The sequence below is a fragment of the Homo sapiens genome, chromosome 19, assembly GCF_000001405.40.
Source record: "Homo sapiens chromosome 19, GRCh38.p14 Primary Assembly".
Taxonomy (NCBI): domain Eukaryota; kingdom Metazoa; phylum Chordata; class Mammalia; order Primates; family Hominidae; genus Homo; species Homo sapiens.
Window position 1 is genome coordinate 16965798 of NC_000019.10, and position 17346 is coordinate 16983143.

Consider the following 17346-nt stretch of genomic DNA (forward strand, 5'->3'; position numbering starts at 1 on the left):
CCTCTTCAAGGAGAACTACAAACCACTGCTCAATGAAATAAAAGAGGACACAAACAAATGGAAGAACATTCCATGCTAACGGATAGGAAGAATCAATATAGTTAAAATGGCCATACTGCCCAAGGTAATTTATAGATTCAATGCCATCCCCATCAAGCTACCAATGACTTTCTTCACAGAATTGGAAAAAACTACTTTAAAGTTCATATGGAACCAAAAAGAGCCCACATTGCCAAGACAATCCTAAGCAAAAAGAACAAAGCGGGAGGCATCACGCTACCTGAGTTCAAACTATACTACAAGGCTACAGTAACCAAAACAGCATGGTACTGGTACCAAAACAGATATATAGACCAATGGAACAGAACAGAGGCCTCAGAAATAACACCACGCATCTACAACCATCTGATCTTTGACAAACCTGACAAAAACAAGAAATGGGGAATGGATTCGCTATTTAATAAATGGTGCTGGGAAAACTGGGTAGCCATATGTAGAAAGCTGAAACTGGATCCCTTCCTTACATCTTATACAAAAATTAATTCAAGATGGATTAAAGACTTAAATGTTAGACCTAAAACCATAAAAACTGTAGAAGAAAACCTAGGCAATACCATTCAAGACATAGGCATGGGCAAAGACTTCACGACTAAAACACCAAAAGCAATGGCAACAAAAGCCAAAATAGACAAATGGGATCTAATTAAACTAAAGAGCTTCTGCATGGCAAAAGAAACTACCATCAGAGTGAACAGGCAACCTACAGATTGGGAGAAAATTTTTGCAATCTACCCATCGGACAAAGCGCTAATATCCAAAATCTACAAAGAACTCAAACAAATTTACAAGAAAAAAACAAACAACCCCATCAAAAAGTGGGCAAAGGATATGAACAGACATTTCTCAAAAGAAGACATTTATGCATCCAACACATGAAAAAATGCTCATCATCACTGGCCATCAGAGAAATGCAAATCAAAACCACAATGAGATACCATCTCATGCCAATTAGAATGGCGATCATTAAAAAGTCAGGAAACAACAAATGCTGGAGAGGATGTGGAGAAATAGGAATGCTTTTACACTGTTGGTGGGAGTGTAAATTAGTTCAACCATTGTGGAAGACAGTGTGGCGATTCCTCAAGGATCTAGAACTAGAAATACCATTTCACCCAGCAATCCCGTTACTGGATATATACCCAAAGGATTATAAATTATGCTACTATAAAGACACATGCACACGTATGTTTATTGTGGCACTATTCACAATAGCAAAGACTTGGAACCAACCCAAATGTCCATCAATGATAGACTGGATTAAGAAAATGTGGCACATATACACCATGGAATACTATGCAGCCATAAAAAAGGATGCGTTCATGTCCTTTGCAGGGACATGGATGAAGCCAGAAACCATCATTCTCAGCAAACTATCACAAAGACAGAAAACCAAATACTGCATGTTCTCACTCATAGGTGGGAACTGAACAATGAGAACACCTGGACACAGGGCGGGGAACATCACACTCTGGGGCCTGTCGGGGGGTGGGGGGCCGGGGGAGGGATAGCATTAGGAGTAATACCTAATGTAAATGATGAGTTGATGGGTGCAGCAAACCAACATGGGACATGTATACCTATCAAACTTGCACATTGTGCACATGTACCCTAGAACTTAAAGTATAATTTTTTAAAAAAAGAAAATACATATATAATTAAAAATATATGGCCAGGTGCAGTGGCTCATGCCTGTAATCCCAGCACTTTGGGAGGCCAAGGCTGGCGGATCATGAGGTCAGGAGATGGAGACCATCCTGGCTAACATGGTGAAACCCCGTCTCTACTAAAAAATACAACAAAAATTAGCCAGGCATGGTGGTGGGTGCCTGTAGTCCCAGGTACTTGGGAGGCTGAGGCAGGAGAATGGCATGAAACCGGTAGGCAGAGCTTGTAGTAAGCCAAGATGGCGCCACTACACTCCAGCCTGGGCAACAGAGTGAGACTCTGTCTCACCAAAATATATATATATATGTATATATATACACACATATGTGCGTGTATATACTTGTATATATGTGCATATATACACACACATGTGTGTGTATATATGTGCATATATACACACACATGTGTGTATATATATACATGTTGCTCTCAGAATAAGGATGTGTTTGTTCCAATTACAAAAAAGCATGGGCACTTGATTTTGAAGGCATTTCTTATGCCTTTCTCCATTGTGATTTACAATTGCCTTCATGGTTTTGAGTTTTACAAAGCTGCTGCTTCTATACCAGCCCCAGGACAAGCTCTCAGGGGTTATGCATGTGAGTGGGTCAGGGCCTCTGGGGTGGCTGCCAGCTGACAGAGGCCCTGGGGCCAGCATTCCAATCTTCCTCATCCAATCACATCTTGAAATGCTTCCATGTGTATCCAAACTACAGTATGAAGCCTAATCTGCCAATTCCCCGATTAGGAGTTGGGAAACTAGGAACCCTGTAGGCCTGCTAAACGTGTGGCCCCAGCAGGAAGAGCCTGGGGGACTGAAGCATCCAGGAGCCACTGGGGAGCAGACGGAGGGGCACAAGAAGGTTCCTGTTTTATATAGAGAGGGCTTGAAAGATGGAGAACACTTCCATGGACAGGCTCATCAGGGCTGGCCACCAAATCAAGAGGTTTCCTGGACAGGTCATACATCAAAATGGGCATCATTCCAAAAGTTAGAACCTATTTGGCAGTGAGCAATACTGGAAATACTTCATAGCACAATGTGACTGCAGCCAAAGCAGTACTCAGAGGAAAATTCATAATCCTCTAATGGCTTAAGTGTTTTTATTTATTTATTTATTTATTTTTAAATTAGAGACAGAGTCTCACTCTGTCACTCAGGCTGGAGTGCAGTGGCACAATCACAGCTCACTGCAGCCTCAACCTTCCCAGGCTCAAGCAATCCTCCAGTCTCAGCCTCCCAAGTAGCTGGGACTACAGGCATGAGCCACCACACATGGTTAATTTTTGTATTTGTGTAGAGACAAGGTTTTGCCATGTGCCCAGGCTGGTCTCAAACTCCTAGGCTCAAGTGATCTGCCTGCCTTGGCCTTCCAAAGTGCTGGGGTTACAGGCATGAGCCACTGTGCCCAGCCAAGTGTTTATATTTAAGATGAGAAAGACTGAAAAGTAATTACTTTGTGTCAACTCATGAAGGTAGAGTTGGAGAAGAAGGAGAAACAGAGTAAAAGGAAGAGGAGGGAAGGATGAGAGGAAGGAGAAAGGACAAAATAAAGAACTCTCTAAACAGAGTCTCTGAGAGTTGGGAGATCAAGCCCCAGGTTCTCACCCTGCCCAGATCCCTCTGTCCTCAGACAGGTCAGCTCTCCTGATTCATTTTCTTCTCTCTTCCATATCCCTAATCTTGTGCACTGGGGTAGGGCTAAGAATTGGGTAGGGAGGAGGTATATGAAGCAATCAGTGTCCTAGCCTGCTATGCCAATGGCCCCCAGGGAACATTGGGCAATGTCTGGAGATATTGTTGGTTGTTACAACTGGGAAGGAGTGTGACTGACATCTAGTGGGTGGAGGTCAGGGATGCTGCTCAACACTCTACAGTGCAGAGGACACCCCTCACAGTGCACAGAATAATCCTACCCTGCAATGGACTCAATGTTTGCATCCCCCTGAAAATTCATATGTTCAAATCTTAACCTCCGAGGTGATGGTGTTGAGGTGAAGCTTCTAGGAGATGATCAGGTTATGAAAGTGGATTGCTCATGAATGGGATTAGGGCCCTTATAAAAGGGACTCTAGGCCGGGTGCAGAGGCTCACGCCTGTAATCCCAGCACTTTGAGAGGCCACAGCAGGCAAATCACTTGAGGCCAGGAGTTTGAGACCAGTGTGCCTAACATGGTGAAATCCTGTCTCTACTAAAAATACAAAAATTAGCTGGGCATGGTGGCATGTAATCCCAGCTACTCAGGAGGCTGAGGCAGGAGAATCACTTGAATCTGGGAGGTGGAGGTTGCAGTGAGCCAAGCTCGTACCACTGCACTCCAGCCTGGGCAACAGAGCCAGGCTCCATCTCAAAAAAAAAAAAAAAACAAAAACAACGAAAAACTTACTAATAGCAGTTGTTAATATTATACTTTAAAAACACCTATTATTGCCAGGCGCAGTGGCTCATGCCTGTAATCCCAGCACTTTGGGAAGCCAAGGTGGGCGAATCACAAGGTCAGGAGATCGAGACCATCCTGGCTAACACAGTGAAACCCCGTCTCTACTAAAAATACAAAAAAAAAAAAAATTAGCGGGGTGTGGCGGGCGCCTATAGTCTCAGCTACTCAGGAGGCTGAGGCAGGAGAATGGCGTGAACCTGGGAGGCGGAGCTTGCAGTGAGCTGAGATCGCACTACTGCACTCCAGCCTGGGAGACAGAGCAAGACTCTGTCTCAAAAAAAAAAAAAAAAAAGAAAGAAAGAGAGAAAGACACCTGTTATTTAGTTAAAATTTTCTTCCAGGCCAGGTACAGTGACTCACACCTGTAATCCCAGCACTTTGAGAGGCTGCGGCAGGCAAATCACTTGAGGCCAGGAGTTCATGACCAGCCTGGCCAACATGGTGAAACCCTGTCTCTACTAAAAATACGAAAATTAGACAGGCATGGTGGCATGCCTGTAATCCCAGCTACTCAGGAGGCTGAGGCAGGAGAATCACTTGAACCTGGGAGGTGGAGGTTGCAGGGAGCCAAGATCACACCACTGGGGGTGTGGTCACACAGCCTGGGGGACAGATTGAGTGAGACTCCATCTCAAAAAAAAAAAGGCTCCAGAGAGCTCCCTCACTCCTTCTGCCATATGAGGATACAGCAAGAAGCCAGAGGGCACCATCAATGAAGCAGGAAGTGAGCCCTCACCAGACACCCAATCAGCTGGTGCCCTGTTCTTGGACTTCCAAGCCCCAAGAACCATGTGAAATAAATTTCAGTTGTTTATAAGCCACTCGGTCTATGGTCTTCTGTTATAGCAGCCAGGAAGGACAAAGACAAGCCCCAGATGTTAATAGGACCAGGGTTAGAAAACCTTGCTCAATGTATAAGCCGTTACCTGGGGGGGTGCCTGGAAGGAGCCACTGCCACCAGGCTCCCTGTGTGGGGCTGGAAAGCGGGGACAGCCTCATCGGTGTAGAGGCCACCGTCCTGCCGGTGGTTCAGGCTCACTCGGTCGGTCATCACCACCAGTCCCGTTTCCTAGGCAACAGACAACACCCAAACCATTGGTGGGGAAGTGGATGCTGACAGCCCCCAGAAGCATAAGGGAATGAATCACCCTGTGGCCACTGTCCCAATATCAGCTTGTGGCAACCTTGGGGGCATCATTCTTTTTTTGCTTTTTTGGGTTTGTTTTGTTTTGTTTTGTTTGTTTGTTGTTTTTTGAGACGGAGTCTCGCTCTGTCGCCCAGGCTGGAGTGCAGTGGCGCAATCTTGGCTCACTGGAAGCTCCACCTCCCAGGTTCACGCCTATCTCCTGCCTCAGCCTCCCTAGTAGCTGGGACTACAGGTGCCCGTCACCATGGGGCATCATTCTTTTACTCTGGGTTTGGTGGCACAGGCTGGGGAGAACGTGGGACCCAGTGACCATCCAGGGTGGAGAAGAGAGAACAGCACATTTGAACTGTGCAACCAAATCAGATGGTCCAAACACAAAAGGCCATATGTTGTATGATTCCGTTGAGATGAAACGCCCAGAACAGGCAAATCCATAGAGACAGAAAGCAGATCAACTGGTGACTGCCAGGGGCTGAGGGAGGGGAAATGGGGAGTAATTGCTACTGGGGATGGGGTTTCCTTTTGGGGGATGAAAATGGTCTGGAATTAAGTAGGGGTGGTGGTTGCACAGCACTGTGAATATAATAAATGCCACTGAATTTTAAACGGTGAGTTTTATGTTATATGAATTTCATCTCGATTAGAAAAATCATGGCCAGGCATAGTGGCACATGCCTGTAATCCCAGCATTTTGGGAGGCCGAGGTGGGCGGATCACTTGAGATCAGGAGTTCAACACCAGCCTGGCCAACACGGTGAAACCCCATCTCTACTAAAAATACAAGAATTAGCCAGGCATGGTGGTGGGCACCTGTAATCCCAGCTACTTGGGAGGCTGAGGCAGGAGAATCACTGGAACCCAGGAGGCGGAGGTTGCAGTGAGCCAAGATCACACCACTGCACTCCAGCCTGGGCAATAGAGCAAGACTCCATCTCAAAAGAAAAAGAAAAGAAAAGAAGGAAGGGGAAGTGAGGGGAGAGCAGGGGAGGAAATCAGTTGGCGCAGTACCTGACCCCAACCAAGGACCAACGGTGGGATGCAATGATCTCTTTTATTAGTATTAGTATTATTAGAGACGGCCTCCATCTGTGGTTCAGGCTGGGGTGCAGTGCTGCAATCATAGCTCACTGCAGCCTCAAACTCCCAGGCTCAAGTGATCCTCCCACCTCAGCCTCTTGAGTAGCTGGGACTAGAGGAGTGCACCACCATGCCCGGCTATGCAATTAGTCTTTTTATTCTGTCCTCATCATTGTACTAATTACTGGGAGCAACTGGATTTGAAAGAAGACTCACTGTAGCCTGGGCTGACTTGGATTTGTGAACAAGAATTTTTTTTTTTTAGACGGAGTCTCACTCTGTCGCCCAGGCTGGAGTGCAGTGGCGCGATCTCGGCTCACTGTAAGCTCCGCCTCCCAGGTTCATGCCATTCTCTCCTGCCTCATTCTCCTGAGTAGCTGGGACTACTGGCGCCCGCCACCACGCCCGGCTAATTTTTTGTATTTTTAGTAGAGACGGGGTTTCACTGTGTTAGCCAAGATGGTCTCGATCTCCTGACCTCGTGATCCGCCCGTCTCAGCCTCCCAAAGTGCTGGGATTACAGGCGTGAGCCACCGCGCCCAGCCTTTGAATAAGAAATTCAAACCCAGTTCCTTTGACTCAAAGGCGTCACCTCTGACTTCCAGAAGGGACCTGGAGTTCAAACTGCCAGGCAGTTCACATACTCATAAATGAAATGTTATTTTTCAAAACAAAAAACAAAACACAAAGGTTTATTTTGCCAGGTACAGTGGTGTATGTCTGTAATCCCAGCACTTCGGGAGGCTAACGCGGGTGGATCCATTAAGCCCAGGAGTTCAAGACTAGCCTGGGTGACATGGTGAAACCCCATCTCTATAAATACGAAAAAAATTAGCGAGGCATGATGGCGTGTGTCTGTGGTCCCAGCTACTCAGGAGGCTGAGGCAGGAGGATCGCTTGAGCCCAGGAGGTCGAGACTGAAGTGAGCTGAGATCACGCCACTGCATACCAGCCTGGGTGACAAAGTGAGATCTTGTCTCAAAAAAAGAAAAATAAGAGATTTTTTTGTTTGTTTGTTTTGTTTTTAGCAAATAGAACTGTGGGAACTAGGTGGCAGGCATGTGGGTATTTGTCTAATTCGCTCAACTTTTCTGCATGTTTGGAAATTTTCATCATAAAAGCAACACAGGTTGGGGAGGGAAGGATGCCTTTGAAATTTTATTTATTTATTTAATTTCATTTTTTTGAGACAGAGTCTCGCTCTACCACCCAGGCTGGAGTGCAGTGGCGTGATCACTGTAACCTCCGCCTCCCAGTTCCAGAGCTTCTCCTGCCTTAGCCTCCCGAGTAGCTGGGATTACAGGCGCCCACCACCACACCCAGATAATTTTTGTATTTTTAGTAGAGACGGGGTTTCACCATGTTGGCCAGGCTGGTCTCGAACTCCTGACTTCAGGTGATCCACGTGTCTTGGCCTCCCAAAGTGCTGGGATTACAGGCGTGAGACACCACACCTGGCCAGAAATATTTTTTAAAGCTGAAATGAAAGGCACCCTCCAATGGGACACGCATTTGAGTGGAGACCACCAGCACCCTAAGGTGTGACCCTGAAGGGCGAAGCATGCTCCCATCCCAATCCCTTTCTATCTATATCACATCATGAAAACGTCCAGAGATGGGCACCTGATAGCATTAGCCCTTTTTTTTTTTTTTTTTTTTTGAGACGGAGTCTGGCTCTGTCACCAGGCTGGAGTGAAGTGATGTGATCTCTGCTCACTGCAACCTCCACCTCCCGGGCTCAAGTGATTCTCCTGACTCAGCCTCCCAAGTAGCTGGGACTACAGGCATGCACCACCACGCCCAGCTAATTATTGTGTTTTTAGTAGAGAGGGGGTTTCACCGTGTTGGCCAGGATGGTCTCGATCTCTTGACCTTGTGATCCGCCCACCTCAGCCTCCCAAAGTGCTGGGATTACAGGCATGAGCCACCGCGCTCAGCCAGCATTAGCCCTTTTTTTTTTTGAGACGGAGTCTCGCTCTGTCGCCCAGGCTGGAGTGCAGTGGCGCAATCTTGGCTCACTGCAAGCTCCGCCTCCCAGGTTCACGCCATTCTCCTGCCTCAGCCTCCCGAGTAGCTGGGACTACAGGCGCCCCCTTAGCCCTTTTTAAGATGGGTAAACTGGAGCTGGGCACAGTGGCTCATGCCTCTAATCCCAGCGACTAGGGAGGCTGGGGCACGAGGATCACCTATGCAGTTCAGACCCCCTGCCACCTGGGATCACAGCCACCTCCTTCTGCTTGAAAGCTGCCAGACACACAACCAAGTTAACCAAAGCCGAGGCAGAGCTAAGAGCTACTGGCACCCACAGCTCCCAATGAGAAGGTTTTCCTCGCAGCAAAGCACGTCAATGTCATAACACGTCCCATCACAAGTTCAAGTTACCCATTTGAACCTGACCATTGACATGCATAACATTCTGCTCTCCACGGCTTTGCAAATTGGAAGAATCTACTTGTGAGCTTTCACTGGGGAGAAATGAAAAAGAAAAGTTTGGAAGGCTGGGTGCAATGGCTCATGCTTGTAATCCTAACACTTTGGGAAGTTGAAGCAGGAGGATTGCTTGAGGCCAGGAGTTTGACACTAGCCAGGGCCACGTAGCAAGACCCCATCTCTACAAAGAAATAAAGCAAAATAAAATTAGCCAGGTGTGGTGGCATGCACCTGTAGTGCCAGCTACTTGGGAGACTGAGGTGGGAGGATCACTTGAGCACAGGTGTTTGAGGCTGCAGTGAGCTATGATCACACCACTGCACTCCAGCCTGGGCCACAGAGCGAGACCCCATCTCGAAAAAAAGAAAGAAAAGCTTCCAATTCTGTTTCCAACCCATTTCTGAATCTCCAAGACTCTTATTTCTAGGCAAGAGGAACTTAGAAGGGGGCAGAGGGATCTGAGACCACCTCTCCTTACGGTGAAGGCAAACCCAGAGTCCTTGGTGATGCCCCAAGGCCACGGGAAGACAGAGGAGCGCCGGCGTCGTTGTGCCGTCAGCCCAGCCCACCAAAAAGGACCATCCTCCCTGGACACGCCAAAGGAATCAGAAACATCATAATCTTCCAGTTCCTGGAAAACCTGCAGGCAAAGGGGGACAGAGACTTGTCAGCTGAAGTTTTCTTTACAACCCAAACTGGCTCCCGTGGGTGTGGCATGCTCCCATCCCAACCTCTTTATCACGTCATGACAACCTCCAGGAGATGGGCACTGGTAGCATCAGCCCATTTTAAGATGGGCAAACAGGAGCCAGGCACAGTGGCCCATGCCTCTAATCCCAGTTACTGGGGAGGCTGAAACAGGAGGCTGGCTTGTGCAAAGGAGTTCGAGACCAGCCTGGGCAACATAGCAAGACCCCGCCCCTACAAAAGATAGAAAAAATTAGCCAGGCGTGGTGGTGCATGCCTGTAGCCCCAGCTACTCTGGAGGCTGAGGTGGGAGGATCGTTTAAGCCCAGGAGGTGTTCGCTACAGTGAGCTATGATCACGCCACTGCACTCCAGCCCAGGCAACAGAGCAACATCCCAACTCTAAAAATAATATAAAATAAGATGGGCAAATTGGAGCCAGAGAGGTGAGACCTGGCCCAATGTCATGTTGCAAAAATCTGATGACCTTGACTCCCTGATCTTGCAACTGTGCTGAAGCAGCAGGAAGGATTTATCAGACACCCATTAGGTTCCCTGAAAAATGAACCCGACGGAGAAAGCGAATCTGGATTCAAATGCCACTCTTCATTTATTGGAATGAGAGATGGGAAAGGGAGAGCAAGAGAAGGTAAAGCCCCGTGGAGGTCTAGAACCCAAGCCCGAGGGGTCTGCTCACCTGGGCAGGAGTCAGCCGGAACCCAGACCTGAGCAGGTAGACACTCTTATCAACTGCGGCGACGCACACACAGCTGCCCCTTGCAGCCCTGATCCGCAGGTCGACAACCTCCCCAGGTTGGGTCTCATTTGCTGAATACGTCACTGAAACCTTGGCGCAAATGCAGCAAGGGATAAGAAACTTGGTTCAGTTGGCTGTGAGTGGTGGCTCACGCCTGTAATCCCAACACTTTGGGAGGCCGAGGCGGGTGGATCACCTGAGGTCAAGAGTTCGAGACCAGCCTGGCCAACATGGTGAAACCCCATCTCTACTAAAAATACAAAATTTAGCTGGGCATGGTGGCAGGTGCCTGTAATCCCAGCTACTTAGGAGGCTGAGGCAGGAGAATCGCTTGAAGCCCAGAGACAGAGGTTGCAGGGAGCTGAGAGAGTGTGGTTGCACCCCAGCCAGGGCAACAAGAATGAAACTCCATTTCAAACAATGAAAAAAAGAAACTTGGTTCAATCCAGGTTTGGTCTAGTCCAGAGGCATCTCTTCTGCCCCACCCATGCACCCCCTGCCCACCAAGGAGAGTGGGTCTTTGCCAGCTCAGCTGGGAACCTGGCCTCGCTACCTGGGTGAAACTGGTCCCACACTGTGAAGGGCAGCTGGTCATTGTGCAGCGGGCACAAAGAAGGGAACACAGAGGGACAGGCAGAGATGGGAAGGCAGGTGCTGGCGGAGAGCCTGTGGCAGTTTGTTTACAAGTTGCAGGGAGGAGCCAGGCGCAGTGGCTCACACCTGTAATCCCAGCACTTCGGGAGGCTGAAGCATGTGGATCACTTGAGGCCAGGAGTTCAAGACCAGCCTGGCCAACATGGTGAAACCCCATCTCTACTAAAAATACAAAAATTAGCCAGACATGGTGGCACATGCCTGTAGTCTCAGCTACTCGGGAGGCTGAGGCCGGAGAATTGCTTGAACCCGGGAGGCAGAGGTTGCAGTGAGCCGAGATCGTGCCACTGCACTCCAGCCTGGGTGACAGAGCTTGACTCCGTCTCAAAATAATAATAATAATAATAAAGTTGTTGCAGGGAGGGGGAGAGGAGGCTGAGGGTGCCAATGGAAACAAGTGCTGTCCCTTAAATCCTGAATTCAACAAAGGCAGAGAATAATTGATGGCTTTCCCCATGTGTTTTGAATGCAATCTCCTTTTGTGTGACTTTTGGAGATGCTTCAGTAAAGATGCAACTCATGTTCCCATAATTCCTTACATCATGCTGCGACACAACATGAGTCTCAGGTGTGCACAGACCCCCTGGCCAGCACCTTGGAGAAGCCCCGATGGCCCCTGGCTGTGTCCCAGGTTCAGTGCACGATGCTCTACCTGGTTTTCGAAGAAGGTCTCGACTGCAAACTGAAGGCTGTCGGCGACCCCTTCTCCATTCTCCCTGACGTAGAAGACCAGCAGGCGACCAAGGGGGACCATGCTGGGGGTCACGGCCAGATGAAGAGAGGTCACACACACGTCGACCTCAGCTTCTGGGGCTGGTGGGGGCTCTGAGGTGAGCAAAAGTAGAGAGAGGTGGTGAATTCTCCGCATCCGACATGCAACCTCAGCCATTCAGGCTCTGCCCCAATTTGCCCTGCGCTATGCTCCTGTCTACGCATTGAGACAGTCTGCATCTTTGGTTTTGAGATGCCCTTCCCAGGCTACATCCTCAGTCAATGCTGACTCTTTCTATTGACTCAGCTCTAGGGTCACCATGGGCTCCTACAGAGCAGGCTGGAATTTGCCTAGAATCATCCTCTCTGCCGGGGAACATGGTCCCTGCTCCCTGACCAGCCCTCTGCTTCCTCCGCGGACACCAAAACCACCTTGGCTTGTCCAGGCAGCACCACTGCAGCTCCCCAATATGCCCCTGACCTCCAGTCCCTCCCTCTGATTGGCTCTGTCTTGCTGGGGCCTGGGGCCAGCAGACCTGGGCAGCCATTATTTGCTGACTTGAACCGAGTTCATACTGCCTTCCCTGTGGGTAAATGATCCTTAAAGGATAGAGGATCTTAGAAGCCTGTCCAGGCACTCCCAAATACTCTACGGCAAGAGAATGAGGGTAGAAAGGCTCCCAGTTCCAGAATGGGCCATCTGTCAGCTGGTTCTGTGCAGAGCTCAGAGCAGCCAGTGGACAGGGATGGTAGGGGAAAGCGGGGACACAAGGAAACTCATGGGCAACAGGAGGAAGTGGGTACCCAATCGGCCTTGGGGTTCAAATCTTGGCTCTGGCCCCTACTAGGCAATGGGAAAGTCCCTGAAACCCCCACCCCCAAGTCACAGCCCATTCATCTGCAGATGGACACAGTGGAACCACCACCATCCCAGGCTGCAGTGGGGTTAAATGGGGACAGATTGTGGGGAGTTCCAAGCCCAGGGCTGGCCCTGGACAAGGATTCCAGGGAGACATAAAGTCCCTGTTATTTCACCCAGAAGAGAAGAGAAGACCAAGAGGGTGAAGGTGCACCATGCCCAAAGCAGGACTCTGGCCAGCAGTTCTCAGCCAAGGCAATTCTGCTACCCAGGGGATGCTGGCAATATCTGCGGATGTTTTTTGGTCATCACTGCTGGAGGGGATGCTACTGGCTTCCGGTGAATAGAAGCCAGAGATGCTATTCAGCATCCTACAGTGCATGGGATGGTCCCAAATGTTGACAGTGCAGAGGGTGAGAAAGCCTGCCTAAGAAGGAGGGATCTTCTCTGTCTGTCTATCTATCCATCCATCCATCTATCCACTCATCTTTCTATCTATCCATCCATCCATCTCTTCATCCATCCACCATCTACCCATCCATCCACTCACCCACCATCCACCCTTCCCTCTATTCATCAACCATCCATCATCCACCCATCCAACCATCCACCCATCCCTCTATTCATCATCCATCATCCACCCACCCACCATCCATCCATTTATCCATCCATCATCCACCCACCCATCCACCATCCAATCATCTATCCATCTGTTCATCCATCCATCTGTTCATCCATCCATCATCCACTCATCCACCCACCCCACTATCCATCCATCTATTCTTCCATCCATCATCCCCCATTCATCCACCCACTATCCATCCATCTATCCATCCAACCATCCATCTATTCATCCATCCATCATCCACCCATCCACCCACTATCCATCCATCCATTCATCTATTCATCCAGTCATCATCCGCCCACCCACTATCCATCCATCCATCCATCTATTCATCTAATCCTCATCCACCCACCCATTAGCCATCCATCCATCCATCCTTCTGTACCTCCATCCATCTATTCATCCATCCATCTATTCATCCAGCCATCCATCTGTCCATTCATCCATCCATCTGTCCATCCATCCATCTGTCCATTCATCCATCCATCCATCCATCCATCCATCTTTTGGTCCATCCATCCATCCATCCATCTATCAATCCACCCATCCATCTGTCCATTCATCCATCCATCCATCCTTCTGTCCATCCATCTTTTGGTCCATCCATCCATCCATCCATCTCTCTGTCCATTCATCCATCTATCCACCTATCCATCCATCCATCCATCCTTCCATCTATCCACTGTTCTATCAGTCCATCCATCCATCCATCCATTCATCCATCTTTCTATCTGTCCATCCATCCATTGATCCATCCCTCTATCATCTATAGGGCTATTGGCATCTATGGGGTGGAGGCCAGGGATGCTGCTCAATATCCTACAGTGCCTCCACCACAGAGAATGATCTTGCCCAAATGTTGATAGTGCCAAGGTTGAGAAACCTTGCCTTCGCCTGAGAGATCCTGCCTATCTATCTATCCACCCATCATTCTGTCTATCTACCTACCTATCTCAGTGTCCTCACCTGGAAGTGACTCTGCCCCCTGGGGATAGTGGCAATATCTGGAGACTCTTTAGGTCATCATACTGTGGAAAGTTGGTACTACTGGCATCTGGTGGGGAGAGACCAGGGATGCTGCTCAGCACCCTACAGTGCACAGGACGCCCCCACTCTGGAGTGATCCACCCCCTTATATATGTCTATAGTGCTCAAGTTGGGGACCCTGTATTGAGAAGAAGAGCTTTGAAGAGGAGGGGACTAAGGAAGTCCCCTGGGAGGAGGGCCTTATGAGGAGCACATGGTGTCAAAAAGAGAAGAGGAAGAGGACTCATAGGCAGAACCGCCTGGGCAAAGAGGCAACAGCACAATGTGGGCCAGTGCAAGAGCCTAGTCTGTGGCTGGCTTTCCCTGTCCCCTGCACACACAGAGTGAGAAGAGTCTGGGGCCTGAACCTCTCCACTTCCAGCAGCTGATCACTGTCTTCCTGGACCCAGTCTGGTATTGTTAAGGATGTGTCCCCTCTGACCCAAGGCATGCTCCCCTCTCTGCTGGGTCTTGCCTTGTCCCTCCTTGCAGGAGCACCCATCTCAGTCTCAATTGTTCAGAAGGAAGAACAGGAACCTTCTCCCTGCTGCCCGGCTCACCTGTCTCAGAAAGGTGTGTTAAACGAATCGGTTTCTCCAGGGCAGGGGCCGCCCGCTTGCTTCGCTGCTGGGTGGTGTGGGCAGGCTGCTGGCCCGATAGCACAATATTGCCCCGTGCAGCCACCTCGTAGTACAGGGTAAAGTTGCAGGGACATGTGGACTTCACAGAAAAATAGGCTTCTTCCCCAACCTATGGAAGACACGCAGCATGGGGGGCTCTGCCTCGCACCAATGTTGCAACCCACCACAGGAAGACGGCCATTCTGGGGCCAGAGGGAGGTTGGGATGGCTGAGGGAGCGGAGTGCCCAGCATCCAGTCCTGGCCCCTAGCTTTTTTGTTTTTTGTTTTCTTTTTTAAGATAGTGTTTCACTCTTGTCACCCAGGCTGGCATGCGATGGTGAGATCTCAGCTCGCTGCAACCTCTGCCTCCTGGGTTCAAGTGATTCTCCTGCCTCAGCCTCCTGGGTAGCTATTACAGGCGCCCGCCACCATGCCGGTATAATTTTTGTATTTTTAGTAGAAACGGAGTTTCACCATGTTGGCCAGGCTGGTCTCGAACTCCTGACCTCGTGATCCCAGTATTTTGGGCTCACGCCTGTAATCCCAGCACTTTGGGGGGCTGAAGCGGACAGATCGCTCAAGTCCAGAAGTTAGAGAGCAGCCTGAGCAACATAGTGAGACCCCCATCTCTACAAAAAGCACACACACATAAAATTGGCCAGGCGTGGTGGCACATGCCTGTAGTCCCCGCTACTCAGGGGGCTGAAGTGGGAGGGTCACTTGAGCCTAGGAAGTCAAGGCTGCAGTGAGCCATGATCGCACCACTGCACTCCAGCCTGGGTAACAGAGTGAGACCCTGTCTCCAAAAAAAAATAAAAATAAAATACTGTTTCCTAACTTTGAACGTGCTAATGCCACAAGTGGGCTGGGCCTTCTCTTAGGATATGAACTCAATGAGTTGGGTCCTATCATAGTCCCCAAGTTCCTAGAGGGGAAAACTGGAAACTGAGGCCTTGGTTCTTTGCCCAATGTCAATGAGTGTAGGGCAGGATTCAAACTCAGGGGAACTGATGCTAAGGCCCCACATTGAACCCTGAAGCTGCCATTATTCTGATATCAGGAAAGCTAAGGCCTCCCAGGTCCTAAGATCTCCCTAGGGGGTTGGCGTGTGGCCATGTCCAACACTTTGCCCTAGGAATCCCGCCTCTGTTCCATGTTTTGCAATCTGTGACTGTCCCCAAATGTTGGGATCACCCTGAAAGCCCAGAAGAGGGATATCTGGAGTAGGGGAAGAGTGACATTCTTGCCGTGGAAGCTTGGGCAAATCATTTCACCTCTCTGAGCCTCAGTTTCCCCACCTGTAAAATAAGGCTGTTATCTCCTGGACAGAGGGTCCTGAGGCTCCAATGAGATGATGTGTGTGTCATGCTCAACATCACACAATGCACACTGTAGGTGGCTAATAAGTGTCATTCTGGCCAGGGGCCATGGCTCACACCTGTAATCCCAGTATTTTGTTAGGCTGAGGTGGGTGGATCACTTGAGCCCAGAAGCTTGAGACCAGCCTGGGCAACAAAGTGAGATCCCGTCTCTACAAAAAATCAAAAAACTTTGGCCAGGCGCAGTGGCTCATGCTTTGTAATCTCAGCACATTGAGAGGCCGAGGCGAGAGGATTGCTTGAGTCTAGGAGTTCAAGACCCGCCACAGCAACATGGTGAAACCCCATCTCTACAAAAATACAAAAATTAGGTGGATGTGGTGGTGGGTGCCTGTGGTCTCAGCTACTCGGGAAGCTAAGGCGGAAGGATCACTTGAGCCAGGGAGGTCGATGTGCGGTGAGTCATGATCATGCCACTGCACCCTAGCCTGGGCAACAGAGTGAGACCCTGTCTCAATCAATCAATCAATATTTTTTAATTAAAAAAATATATAGTAAGAAAAATAAATGTCATTCTACCTCCCCCTAAAGGAAGAATCTGCCTGTTTAAGAAGCTGGGCCTAAGGGACTCCCACAGCCAAATTTGGAAAATTTGAGCAGCAAAAAGAAGAATGTCAGCTGAGTGTGGTGGCTCATGCCTATAATCCTAACACTTTGGGAGGCTGAGGCAGGCAGATTGCTTGAGTTCAGGAGTTCAAGACCAGCCTGAACAACATGGCAAAACTCCATCTCCACAAAAAATAATAAAAAAAATAGCTGGGTGTGGTGGCACAAGCCCATAGTCCCAGCTATCTAGGGGGGCTGAGGCAGGAGGATCACTTGAGCACAGGAGGTCAAGGCTGCAGTAAGCCATGACTGTGCCACCACCCTCCAGCCTCGGGTGCTATGGTTTGGCTGTGTCCCCACTCAAATCTCATCTTGAATTGTAGCTCCCATAATTCCCATGTGTTCTGGGAGGGACCCAGTGGGAGATAACTGAATCATGGGGACAGTTTCCCCAATACAGTTCTCATGGTAGAGAATGAGTCTCGTGAGATCTGATAATTTTATAAGGGGTTTTCCTTTTCACTTGGTTCCCATTCTCTCTTGTCTGCCACCATGTAAGATGTACCTTTCACCTTCTGCCATGATTGTAAGGCCTCCCCAGCCACGTGGAACTGTGAATCCATTAAACCTCTTTTTCTGGCTGGGCATGGTGGCTCACGTC

At 49.3% G+C, this 17346-nt stretch overlaps 1 protein-coding gene across 15 annotated transcripts in view; it reads right to left on the reverse strand.

Moving 5' to 3' along the window:
• Positions 1 to 17346, reverse strand: part of CPAMD8 (C3 and PZP like alpha-2-macroglobulin domain containing 8) — a 133860-nt gene that overhangs the window by 72847 nt on the left and 43667 nt on the right. For 13 of the 15 annotated variants that reach the window (XM_011527917.2, XM_047438612.1, XM_011527922.2 and 10 more), the window contains exons 14-18: positions 14700 to 14889; positions 11571 to 11743; positions 10205 to 10354; positions 9300 to 9461; positions 5094 to 5236 (exon numbers count right to left, since the gene is read on the reverse strand). In XM_011527917.2, the coding sequence (XP_011526219.1) occupies positions 5094 to 5236; positions 9300 to 9461; positions 10205 to 10354; positions 11571 to 11743; positions 14700 to 14889 (818 nt within the window). Of the gene's footprint in view, positions 1 to 5093; positions 5237 to 9289; positions 9462 to 10204; positions 10355 to 11570; positions 11744 to 14699; positions 14890 to 17346 lie in introns of those variants that run through there. The other 2 variants (NR_165644.1, XM_011527925.1) reach the window with 2 other exon arrangements.